This window comes from Homo sapiens, chromosome 21 (assembly GCF_000001405.40).
Source record: "Homo sapiens chromosome 21, GRCh38.p14 Primary Assembly".
NCBI classification, from domain to species: domain Eukaryota; kingdom Metazoa; phylum Chordata; class Mammalia; order Primates; family Hominidae; genus Homo; species Homo sapiens.
The window spans coordinates 15215488-15228683 of record NC_000021.9 but is presented as its reverse complement, the minus strand read 5'-3'; the positions used below and the strand labels follow the sequence as shown (position 1 = coordinate 15228683).

At 41.7% G+C, this 13196-nt stretch overlaps 1 annotated feature.

The window, feature by feature from the left end:
• Positions 6082 to 6671: an enhancer, noted in NCBI's record as "OCT4-NANOG hESC enhancer chr21:16594333-16594922 (GRCh37/hg19 assembly coordinates)". NCBI's record gives its function as "activates a minimal SCP1, AML or CMV promoter by ChIP-STARR-seq in naive H9 embryonic stem cells {active_cell/tissue: H9 hESC(naive)}" and the evidence as "EXISTENCE:reporter gene assay evidence [ECO:0000049][PMID:30033119]".

Below are 13196 nucleotides of genomic sequence, written 5' to 3'. Positions count from 1 at the left end.
CTTGATCCCAAGAGTTTGAGACCAGCCAGGGCAACATAGTAAGACCCTGTCTCTACATAATATAAATTTGAAATATTAACTGGGCATGGTGGTACACATCTGTAGTCTCAGCTACTCAGGAGGCTGAGATGTGAAGATCACATGAACCCAGCAGATTGAGGCTGCAGTGAGCCATGATTGTACCACTGCACTTCAGCCTGGATGACAGAGTGAGACCCTGTCTCAAACACACACACACACACACACACACACACACACACACACACACATATATAATAGATGTGTGAGTGTGTGGTTTAGCACAGGGCTTGCATGTACAGGCCAATTCTGCAAAAGAGATCCTTTTCATTTGTCTTTTATTTCTTAGGCAATGGTTGTAAAAAAAAATTAAGAAACTTAACCAAAACATCTAGATTTCTAGTTTTCCTAAAGAAAAATAATTGAAAGAAAAATCTAGCAACACTGAGGTTGCCTTCATACATGGGAGCAATTGGCCAGAGCTAGCATACCGTTTCCTTTGGGTGGAGACTATGCTATTCCATTGACCATAAATCCTCAATCTCATAGCTATGTATCTCCTACTCTGCTTTCTCTGCTTACATTACCTGCCCAGCCTCTACGAGATTGGAATTTATGACTTCATTGAGAGTTACGGAGTTAAATACCAGCTTTACATGTGGTTCAAAGTTGGTACCTCTGGGGGAATGTAATCAAGAGTGGGAAGAGGATAGCTTGAGTGATACTACCCTTCAGTATAATTTCTACACTTCAGAACATCTTGAGCTAGCCCTTTTATTTTTATATTTATACATGCATAGCTGTGTATGTATGTCTATGTCTGTGTCTTGTGTGGCCCTAGCCTGGACACAAATAGATTCAGAAAAAATCTCAAAGACAAATAGAGACCCTATGCTAGTCAGTCAAATATGAGCAGGAAGAAGGCTTTCAAGATGATTCAGCACCAAGGGTCCATGGATGCTATAAAAATATAAATCGAAGCGGGGTGCAGTGGCTCATGCCTGTAATCCCAGCACTTTGGGAGGCTGAGGTGGGGGGATCACTTGAGGTCAGGAGTTTGAGACCAGCCTGGCCAACATGGTGAAACCCCATCTGTACTAAGAATACCCAAAAAACAAAAATTAGCCAGCCGTAGTGGAGCATGTCTGTAGTCCCAGCTACTCAGGAGGCTGAGACACAAGAATTGTGTGAACCTGGGAGGCAGATGTCGCAGTGAGTGAGATTGTGCCACTGTACTCCAGCCTGGGCGACAAGAGCAAAACTCAAAAAAGTTAAAAATAAATAAATAAATAATAATAATAAAATGAAAAATCAAAACAACCTGTCTGCCTGGTGGAAGTAACCTAATGTTTCTCTGATCCTGTTTGTGGCAGATATTAACTCTCAAAAATAACCATGTGATGCTCTACATTTCCCAGCCTTCCTTGCAGTATGGTGCAGTGATGTCACTGATGTTACTGAATTCTAGCAGAAAGGATGTAAGCCATTCCCGAGCCTGCCCCATAACCTCTTCCCAAACAATCCCTTGGATTTGTTTCCCTTCCTTAGCAACTTGAAAGCCAAGTGTTCGAGAGAAGAAAGCAAAGGCACCAAGATATTAATAGACATTATTAATCTAAACATTGAAATCATAGGTGATTTTATTTTATTATTTACAACTTCATGTCTTTCAAATTTTTTATAATAAGCATGTACTACTTTTATAATTACTAAAGTAATTTTCTCCATAGGAAAAGAAAACAAGTTATCTTAACTACAAGATAGAGGGAGCCTATCTGACCCATGTTAGATGGTGATGCAAGCAAGAAAGAAGACTTTGTCGTATTAGGCTATTGAGATTTGTCTGTTACATCAGTTTTTATTAATTACCTAAACCAGTGGTTCTCAAACCTTAGCATATCTAAAATCACCAGGAAAGCTCCTTAAAACACAGATTGCTCACAGGTGATTCAATGTTAAGTACCTGACATACCAGCATTAAAGCAAGAAATGCTTATTGCACCTCGGCTGCACTGAGATGAAGATGTGGGAAGAATTGGTGATGCCAGATTTCCAAGACATAGCACAATGGTGCGCTTATCTGAACCGACATGACTAAAAGCAATGCGGAAAGTAATGAATTAAAGTTACCTTGAAGCACAATTTTAATGGCAGCATGATTAGCATCTGGAAAACTAGGGGGCAGACAGACCAGCCTCCTTTGAGGTGACCTCTGTTGAGTAAAAGCATGGGTCAGATTCCAGGAGAGAAACCATAACCAGACACTGCAAGCAGTGGATCAGTGAGATTGTGGGGAAATCACAAATTATGGCATTCAGGATTTGTGCCACAATCTTACACCTGTATGCCCATCTCTACCAGTTCTTCATTTCTAAATAGAAGCAATAATAAAAAGTGATCTGCCAGAGGAGGGAAAATACCCATTAGGAATCCCACGATTTTCTAACAAGAATATTGGAGAAAAAAACAGACGCATTTCTATCCATGTAGTAGTGACAGACTCAACCCTGGATGTTAAAGGCAGCAATCAGACAAAATTCAATTTTCTTCTTTTCTTTTTTTAGATATGAAAAATGCAAATCTATGTAGTGGTTACTTCTACAGTAGTTTTCACAATAGCAATATTACCATATTTTCACTTTTCCCTTTTTTAAAAGGTAGTTTTGCATCATCTTGAACAACTTTACATTCTTCTCAATATCTTCTATAACAAGTCACAGAAACTAGTCTTTATTTTTATATTTAAAGATATTAAATGGGCCAGGCATGGTGGCTCATACCTGTAATCCCAGCACTTTGGGAGGCTGAGGCAGGCAAATCACTTCAGGTTAGGAGTTCAAGACCAGCCTGGCCAACATGGTGAAACCCCATCTCTACTAAAAATTAAAAAAAAATTAGCCAGGTATGGTGGCGGGTGCCTGTAATCCTAGCTACTCGGGAGGCTGACGCAGGAGAATTGCTGGAACCCGGGAGGTGGAGGTTGCAGTGAGCCGAGACCGTGCCATTGCACTCCAGCCTGGGTAACAAGAGCAAGACTCCATCTCAAAAAAACAAAGAAAAAAAATGCTATAAAACGTATTTCTCTTTTAGGATTTGACTTCTATAATTTAATTTGTTAATTGTCTCACAATAAAATGATAATAAATTATCCATGTTTTCCAGGAACTACTTTTTTTAAATCTCATTTTCTTCTCTTGATTTTTTACATAGCTCTGATCACAGAAATGGCCCTGCTTAAATATCACTGTTAATTTTCCTGAGGAGAACTTTGTTACTGCCAGTTATTAACTGAAAGTCTAATGGAATGGTTTGATGACACTATTTGGTTTTTCCATTCTATTTGCAATCCAGTGGGATTTTCACTCTTGATGTCGTTAACTCTTCATATTTAAATTTTAATCCTCATTTAGTAGCCGTCTGTTGTCCTTTACATGTCAAAAAATAATCTGAATTTTCTCTCTCGTTTTGAGGAAATTGTAATAGAAGAAATAATAAACTAAAATGAATTTCATTAAAGTTTTGATGTTCTAAAATTTTAAATATTTCAGCCTATTCAGAAAAAAGGTATCCTTTATTTGATTTCATTTATGTTGGTTGTGATTCATATTGAGTGTCAACCTGATTGGATTGAAGGATGCAAAGTATTGTTTCTGGGTGTGTCTTTGAGGGTGTTGCCAAAGGAGAATAACATTTCAGTCTGTGAACTGGGAGAAGAAGACCCACCCCTCAATCTGGGTGGGCACCATCTAATCAGCTGCCAGGGCAGCTAGGATAAAAGCAGGCAGAGGTACGTGGACGGGCTAGACTGATTGAGGCTTCCAGCCTACGTCTTTCTCCTGTGCTGGTTGCTTTCTGCCCTTGAATATGGGACTCGAAGTTCTTCAGCTTTTGGACTATTGGACTTACACCAATGGTTTACCAGGGGCTCTCAGGCCTTCCACCACAGACTGAAGGCTGTACTGTGGGCTTCCCTGTTATTGAGGTTTTGGGACTCAGACTGGTTTCCTTGCTCATCAGCTTGCAGACAGCCTATTGTGGGACTTCACCTTGTGATCTTGTGAGTCAGTACTCCTTAATAAAGTCTCCTTTATATATACAACTATCCTATTAGGTCTGTCCCTCTAGAGAACCCTGACTAATACATCGGTTTTGCAATATATATTACTAACCCTCTACTCTCTGCCAAGAATTGTGCTTAGTGATGCAGAGGGATCCACACCCACATGACGCAGCCTCTCCATCTTCAGAGCACTGAGAAGTCAGGTAAAGCCATAAATGCCCATGACACTGATAGTCAATGTTGAGTTCCTTAGGAAAAGTAGGACTTAAAAGCTACACATCAGAAGACTGACTGTAAGATAAATCAGTGAGGGATTCATGGATGTCTGAACTAGTTTGTGAAGAACTGTAGGATATTGACTGCAGGGACGGCAAATGCAGACACAAGGAGGCAGAATCATATGCAGCATATTCAGGAAGGGTGTATAACTTTTGGGGTGGCTGTAAAGCAATATGAAACAATATATCATCAATCAGAAGGCTGACAAAATGTAAGTTGATGCCAGGTTATAGAAGTTTAAACGGTACATCCAATATTTTGGAACTTAGCCTGTGATGTATTAGGGTATGACGGAGAAATGAGAAAATTAACAGTTTTGCCTTAAGAAGATGAAGGCTGTGTACAAAATAAATAAAGGAAAGGGTGAAAATAGAATTGATGGGTTATTGATGGGAGACAAGTTAGGTGGGTCAAAGCAGAGGAGGAAATCAAAGATGACTCTGGAGTTGAGAGCCTGATTAACTGGGTGGATAATGAATCCTCACACGCAAAAGGGAAGTCGGAGGACGGAGCTCATCTGGGGAAAGATGTCACTATAGACTCGAGTTAAAAATGCCAGTGGGATAAACCAGTGGAAATGCAGAGCAGGCAAGTACAAAAATGGACCTCTTGCTTCGAAGAGGGCTGGGAGTTAGTGCTAAAGATTTGGGAAATGGCTAAATCCATAAAGTGGGAGTTGGGGGCGAGGGCGATAGAAATCATCAAGTGAAAGAGTATGGCAAGAGAAAGGTGGAGAGCTAAGAATCATGCAGAGCTAGCATTGCCCAATTTACCGAGACAGCTTCTAGAACACTCATAATAGAGAGAATGGCCAACAGTGTCAAATGTTACAGAAAGAGGTAGATCAAGGAATTTCTGTTTGCATTTGTGATTAAAGTCAAGATTGAACGAGTCTATGTAGATAGTCTTTTGTGTCTTTGGGTCAAGTGTAGATTTGGCAGTCAGCTAGATCATCTGACAAAGCCAGAAATCAAACTAGATAACTCCTAACTCCCCAAATCCACCTGGACTCTGAATTATTTAGGTGGATTCCTGGAATTGACCACATTGCTTATAATTCCATGTCTTCTGGCTAAACTCTAACCTCCTTTAGGGTACAGCTTTTGTCTTACAAGCTCTTGGCCCTTAAAAGAAGCTTAATACTTTTTAAATATAGTAGTTGAATGAAAACTAACCCCAACTGTGTACAGATACTCAACCATTTGCGGGAGCAATTAGGAATAAAAGAGGAGAACCAAGGATTCAGCATAATGTGTGTTCTAGGGCCAGTATAACGCTAAAAAAGGAAGAACTAGGAAAGATAGATGACTTAGAGGCCCTTGGGTGTAACAGAGAGTCAGTCTTCCCATTGCTACCACAGAGACATGCTTCGTGGATTAATTAACTATTATTCTCCATTTACAAATGAGTTCATAGAGGCAAAGAGGTTAAGTCACTTCTAGAAGATCATAATGTGTCAGCAGGAGATCAAAGCCTGAAGGAACAGGCTTACCACTTAGAGCTCCATGTCTGTAACCTAATAGAGAGCTTCTGAACTTCTGTAAAACTGTGACTTCACTTCTTAGATGATGAGTTGTTAAAGTTCTCTCTGAGGTTAGTTTTACACGAGCAACTCAGGGAAAACATGCACTTTTAAGTGACAATAGTGCTGCTATTATCTCTTTAAAAATCATGTGTGGCCTTCCTTATTAAAGACAAAGTGGGAATTATTCTTGGTGGGAAGAGAAAACATATCCTCCCCATTTCCATTTCAGTCTAGGAAATAAACATTTACTGCATCATGAACAAACATATTTACTTGCGTTTTATCCAGAGCTTTTGAAATGATTGGTTGCAGGCATCCACTTGTAAAAGGTTTATTAGACACTGGTTTAAAAGATTCATTTCTTGAATCATAACTATTAAGAAGTTGAGGCAAAGCTACCTGATGGCTTCCTTTTTGACCTCACTGCAATCTTAAAACAGGGCACAGAAGAGTTAACAGGAGGCCCAGACAGTCCCCTGCTGATCCCATAATGAGTGGGAGCTACAGCTGAATGTCAATAGCTCTTGTGAACTTGGGTAACCCAGCTGAGCCCTCTGCTTGCCAGAGCTGGAGGAGGTAATCAGCTTGACCCCTGTGACCTTCCTGAGGCTGTGTTCTGTCCTGCATGGAGAAGCCTCTTTGCATATGACTCCTACATCCTGCTCAGTTCTCTTTTAGGAGAACTAGACCTGAGTCAGCCTCAAGAGGGAACATGATATAAATTAGTCAATGCTGGTTATAGGTTGCACAATGTAGTAGGTGCTTTAAAAAAAATTAATGGGAACACATCCTGGAAACCTCAAAAAGATTTCCAGGAACCACTATGACATCTGCCCTTCCAGTGTTATTAAAATAAATTGAAGGTTATGTAACAGTTCTGTCAGCACTTCACATTTCTTTGTGGAGTTGTGTTTCACCAAATGCTTTCACCTTTCTGGGTTTGGTAAATTGATTTCCTTTTGTTTCATTGTTTACTTGTCACTATTTCCATTGCATAGTCCCAAGGATGTCATATACACAATGTGTACATTATAGATTAAGAGGATATTTTGTAACATTTTCATTGAGTTCCTAAACAGCATTTCATCCTTATTCTGTGCAATGAAAGAACCTTGAACGATACATTAAGCTCCTTTCATTCTATGTGTGTCTAAATATATTGTTATTAAAAGAATGTTATTATTCATAAGCTGAGAGAATGCATGCTAATTGTGCCTTAAACTGCATAATTTATATAACCATGTAGAGTACAGCACAACAGCACTTCCCATAAAAGCAAAAGTGATTTGTACAATAAAGATTAACCTATGGTAGACTCTGCACACCTATAAGTAAGTCCCATAACAAATACATAGTTTATATTTTCAAGGAAATGGGACTTATCTGTAACAATAAGATTCAGTTGGCTTCAACTCATAGTGACGCTAAAGTGCTTTAACTCAAATACGCATAATTCCATCCAGCAACTACAGGCTTCATTTTTCCCCTAAAGCAAATTTACCCCCAAGTATATTTATTATGCATGCACAGTCTTTAGTACTGAGGAATCTTTGATCATGACTAATGGATTTTGCCTGGAAAAAATTTTATATACTGTAATTTGCTTAGTGATTGTAATAATAATAATTTTAAACCCTTATTAAATAATTGCTCTATAAAAGGTGAATTCCTTACCAAGTGCCATCAGCCACCATCATTACTTTTTGGGTTAAAGGGACAAAAAAAAAGATGCAGTTTCAATGTGGCCTAAGGAAACAAGCAAGGTTGGAAATCATAATCTGTGGTCAAATACTATCATTTATAGTGTTTTTTGTTCTTTGAACAGGTACATACAGTTGGACAATGGGGAGGTGGGGAAAGAAAGGGCCTGCTATCAATTCTATATTGTTTAATATTATACTCTCAACTTAGCCCTAAGAGAAACAACACAGCTATGACCCTAAGATGAGCTGAGACGACAGATGGTCAGAATTACTTGAGGAAGATGACACTTTCATATTTTATCATAGCTATCTCTCTCTCTCTCTCTCTCACACACACACACACACACACACACATACACACGCACAGACGCACATGACAATGTAACAATGGCACTGTACTCAGACTTTTCTGTTTCTGGCTCAAGCATCTTGTAACTGAGAGCTTGAACATCTCTGAACAAATATCTTAAGAGTACAATTCCCAAAGGAGGCTGATTTTTCAAAACACACGCCACGTGCCCAAGGAAACCATGTCTCAGGATCAGTTCTGACAAGCACGCTAAACTAACAAAATATATTTCCTTTGCTGCTTTTAAAAAGCCAGTTAAGATCAGATCACATGATAACTAGTTATTTTAACTAAGTCTAAATTCGTATACAGAGTTTGCTCTTAGAAAGTGTCACATTTGTTTTGCCCCTAAAACACTCCTCTTTACAAAGATTTGTGGAATCAATTTCTGTAAACAAATGTAGAGAGCAAATCTTTACCTAGGTAGATCGCGTTATAACAGCACAGAAGAACTTCACGGCTTTGTTAGAAGTGTCCCTTTTTTGCTTCTAGGTCCTGCACCACCACCACCACCCACACTTCCCTGAAGGGAGAAGAGCTTTGTCAAAAGATTTCCCGGTAAATCAAAAGCACTTTGTGGATAGGAATAGTGTGGACCGTGCCTGAATGAGACCTAGTTATGTATGTGGTGCTCTCCAAAATGAGTTCTTGCTGGCGCCAGTCAATCAAATACCTAAACCCCTAAATGAATGAGGAAGTTTGAGAAACTGCTGTAGTAACTAGGTTAAGTTAAACAAATACACCCAAGTTTTGCATAGTTCTGTATTCCTCCAATCAAAATAAAATTTTCACAGCTTAGCTGCCCAAATATACTTGTGGCGCTATCCTTCTTGAGGTCACGAAATGACATTCCTGCTATGTGCTCTGTGCTGTGAATACTGTGATAACTCTACGATTTCACAGACATTTTCAGGGGTTTTATGATTCTGTGTCAGACCCTGTGAAAAGTCAGGGGAAAGAAAGACAATGAAAATAATACATTGCCCAGTCTTTTTTGTTTGTTTGTTTTTGTTTTTTTTGTTTTTTGTGTTTTTTTTTTTTTTTAGAGATGGAGTCTCGCTCTGTCGTCCAGGCTGGAATGCAGTGGCACGATCTCGGCTTACTGCAACCTCTGCCTTCCAGGTTCAAGCAATTCTCTGCCTCAGCCTCCTGAGTAGCTGGGATTACAGGTGCCTGCCACCACGCCCGGCTAATTTTTGTATTTTTAGTAGAGACGGGGTTTCACCATCTTGGCCAGGCTGGTCTTGAACTCCTGACCTCAGGTGATCCACCCGCCTCAGCCTCCCAAAGTGCTGGGATTACAGACGTGAGCCACCACTACCGGCCACATTGCCTAATCTTAAAAAGTTTCCACTGCAGCAGGAGAAGAAGACAAGTAATATTTTATATAAGAAAATATACTAATGTCATAATAGAGGAATTAGCCAACTTCTGAGTACTTAAAGATGGGCAAAGTCTGTTTTATTTGAGCGATTAAGCAAGGACTTCCCAGCAGAGCTGATGTTGAGGCCTTCAAAGACTACATTAAATAGGATCCTGGAGACATTGCAAGTCAGGAGAGGAAACTGTGGGAGGACACAACTCTTGAGCATAGCTCCTGCTGAGAGGTGACAGCATGCTGGCAGTCCTCAGAGCCCTCGCTTGCTCTCGGCACCTCCCCTGCCTGGGCTCCCACTTCGGTGGCATTTGAGGAGCCCTTCAGCCACCCACCCCCCCAATGCACTGTGGGAGCCCCTTTCTGGGCTGGCCAAGGCTGGAGCCCACTCCCTCAGCTTGCAGGGAGGTGTGGAGGGAGAGGCACGAGCGGGAACCGGGGCTGCGTGCGGCGCTTGCGGGCCAGCTGGAGTTCCGGGTGGGCGTGGGCTTGGTGGGCCCCGCACTCGGAGCAGCCAGCAAGCCCTGCTGGCCCCGGGCAATGGGGGACTTAGCACCCGGGCCAGTGGCTGCGGAGGGTGTACTGAGTCCCCCAGCAGTGCCGGCCCACCGGCACTGTGCTCGATTTCTCGCTGGGCCTTGGCTGCCTTCCCGCGGGGCAGGGCTCGGGACCTGCAGCCCGCCATGCCTGAGCCTCCCACCCACTCCATGGGCTCCTGTGCGGCCCGAGCCTCCCCTAGGAGCACCACCCCCTACTCCACTGCGCCCAGTCCCATCGACCACCCAAGGGCTGAGGAATGCGAGCGCACGGCGCAGGACTGGCAGGCAGCTCCACCTGCAGTCCCGGTGCGGGATCCACTAGGTGAAGCCAGCTGGACTCCTGAGTCTGGTGGGGATGTGGGGAGTCTTTATATCTAGCTCAGGGATTGTAAACACACCAATCAGCACCCTGTGTTTAGCTCAAGGTTTGTGAGTGCACCAATCGACACTCTGTATCTAGCTGCTCTGGTGAGGACGTGGAGAACCTTTATGTCTAGCTCAAGGTTTGTAAATACACCAATCGGCACTCTGTGTCTGGCTCAGGGTTTGTAAACACACCAATCAGCACCCTGTGTTTAGCTCAAGGTTTGTGAGTGCACCAATCGACACTCTGTATCTAGCTGCTCTGGTGGGGCCTTGGAGAACCTGTGTGTCCAAACTCTGTATCTAACTAATCTGATGGGGACGTGGAGAACCTTTGTATCTAGCTCAGGGATTGTAAACGCACCAATCAGCGCCCCGACAAAACAGGCCACTCGGCTCTACCAATCAGCAGGATATGGGTGGGGCCAAATAAGAGAATAAACGCAGGCTGCCCGAGCCAGCATTGGCAACCCGCTCGGGTCCCCTTCCACACTGTGGAAGCTTTGTTCTTTCGCTCTTTGCAATAAATCTTGCTATTGCTCACTCTTTGGGTCCACGCTGCATTTATGAGCTGTAACACTCACCGCGAAGATCTGCAGCTTCAGTTCTGAGCCCGGCGAGACCACGAGCCCACCGGGAGGAACGAACAACTCCAGACGCGCTGCCTTAAGAGCTGTAACACTCACTGCGAAGGTCTGCAGCTTCACTCCTGAGCCAGCGAGGCCACGAACCCACCAGAAAAAGGAAACTCCGAACACATCTGAACATCAGAAGGGACAAACTCCAGACGCGCCACCTTAAGGGCTGTAATACTCACCGCGAGGGTCCGCGGCTTCGTTCTTGAAGTCAGTGAGACCAAGAACCCACCAATTCCGGACACACTGCTATGGGTGCTAAGGCTAATCCTAAGTGAATAAAAGTCTAGAAGTTTGGGAAACCAATTCTTTAAATGTGTTTATTATGAAAGATTCCAAGAATTCACAAAAGGAAAGAGAATAATAAAATGATTCCTCAAAGGCCTATTACTTACATTTAACAATTATCAAAATTTGGCGCCAGGTATGGTGGCTCACATCTGTAATCCTGCCACTTTGGAAGGCTGAGGTGTGTGGATTGGTTGAGCCCAGGAGTCTGAGACCAGCCTAGGCAGCACAGTGAGACCTGGTCTCTATGAAACATGAAAAAAAAAAAGTCAGGCATGGTGGTGTGTACCTGTGGTTCCAGCTACACTGGAGGCTGAGGTAGGAGGATTGTCTGAGCCCGGGGGGGTCAAGGCTGCCGTGAGCCATAATCACACCAACGCATTCCAGCCTCTGGGTGACACAGTAAGACACGGTCTCAAAAAAATTTTGGCCCATTTGTTCATCAACCTGTTTTGTTTTGTTTTGTTTTTTCTTTTTTTCGCTTAATTTTTTTTTAAAGTATACTGCAGACATCTATTAGTTTACATCTTCTGATTTTGATGTGTATCTCTAAAAAGGTGGATATTTTCTTATATATCACAATGCCATTATCACAAATAAAATCAATGATAATTTATTAGATGGTCAGATATCATCTAATAGAGGCTCATATTAAATTTTTCCATTTTTCTGAAAACTGCCTTTAACATGGTTTGTGTTTTAAGTTAGAGAAAGATTTTTTAAAGCCCAGCTGCCATCCCGTGGAGTTGAGTAACATCACATAAGCAGGAGGGGCTCCTGGAGGGCTCCTATCATATCTAAGTCCTTGTTGAATTGCTTTGTACCTAGCACAGAGCCTAGCCCTGATATAACCCAAAATATCTGTTTCCTGAATTGCATCGAAACAATCAGTTTCGATGAGTTGAGTGACAGATTTTAAGTAGGGTGGCATCTCAACAGTACTCTGTTTTAACACAACTCTAGTGGCAACTGGGTGGATATTGGAAAACTTGTCCTAACAAAAAGTCTGTGCCCTCAAGGATCTTGTAGAGAGTCAATGTCACAGGTGTCAAAAGGACCACAAACCATGAACTAGTACTTTGTAGACAAGAAATTCTCTAGTTTATAGATTTGCTGAAATGAAAGGCTTTGAGCTTCTGGAATTCGGAAAAGGGCCATACTTTCATTTGACTGTGGGAACAGACTAATACGCAAGTAGATTGATATCAAGGATAGATATTTTAATCAGGCTAACATGTCTCCTCTGATGATTAAAGGACTAAAAAAATATTTACTTCAACATTCTGGGTGAGTTATTAACAAATATATGCATTCTCAGAAACTAAGAAAATAAACCAGTGGAGGAGAAAGAACTCCATCCAGGAAGAATAATACTCACCACCCTTACAAAGATTTAGCACCTGACAACTTGAGATGCACTTATGCCTTTATTCTATTGTTTCTCATTGTTACTCACAATGACCAGTGAAGTGTACAGGCAACCATTGTTATCTACATTTAAGGGAGAAGAAACTGAGGCCCAAGTTAAGCAACTGATATAATCAAGTTCTCAGGTCAAGAATCTGGATACCAGGAAAAACACCGGTGGTTTTGTTTCTTACTGTTTCCTTGATTTCCGTTTTCATTGTTGGCATTTTCTTGTATTCTCTTTGTTTTGTAGCACCAACTTTCCTGTATAGAAGAAGCTTTGTTCAGTTCCCACCTATGAGTGAGAACATGCAGTGTTGGTTTCTGTCCTTGCGATAGTTTGCTCAGAATGATGGTTTCCAGCTTCATCCATATGTAAATGACAAGTTAATGGGTGCAGCACAGCAACATGGCACATGTATACATATGTAACAAACCTGCACATTGTGAACATGTACCCTAGAACTTAAAGTATAATAAAAAAAAAAGAAGAAGAAGCTTTAAGGCAATGAAGGTTCCCTGTCCTTGTGGTTGGGCAGAGTAAATAATGTTCAAGCAATTTGAAGCACTCACTAGAGATGAAAACCTCCTCTTCATATTATTTTTATAGATTCTCCAGGCTCCATAATTATTTTTGATGATTTCTTCAAAGAAA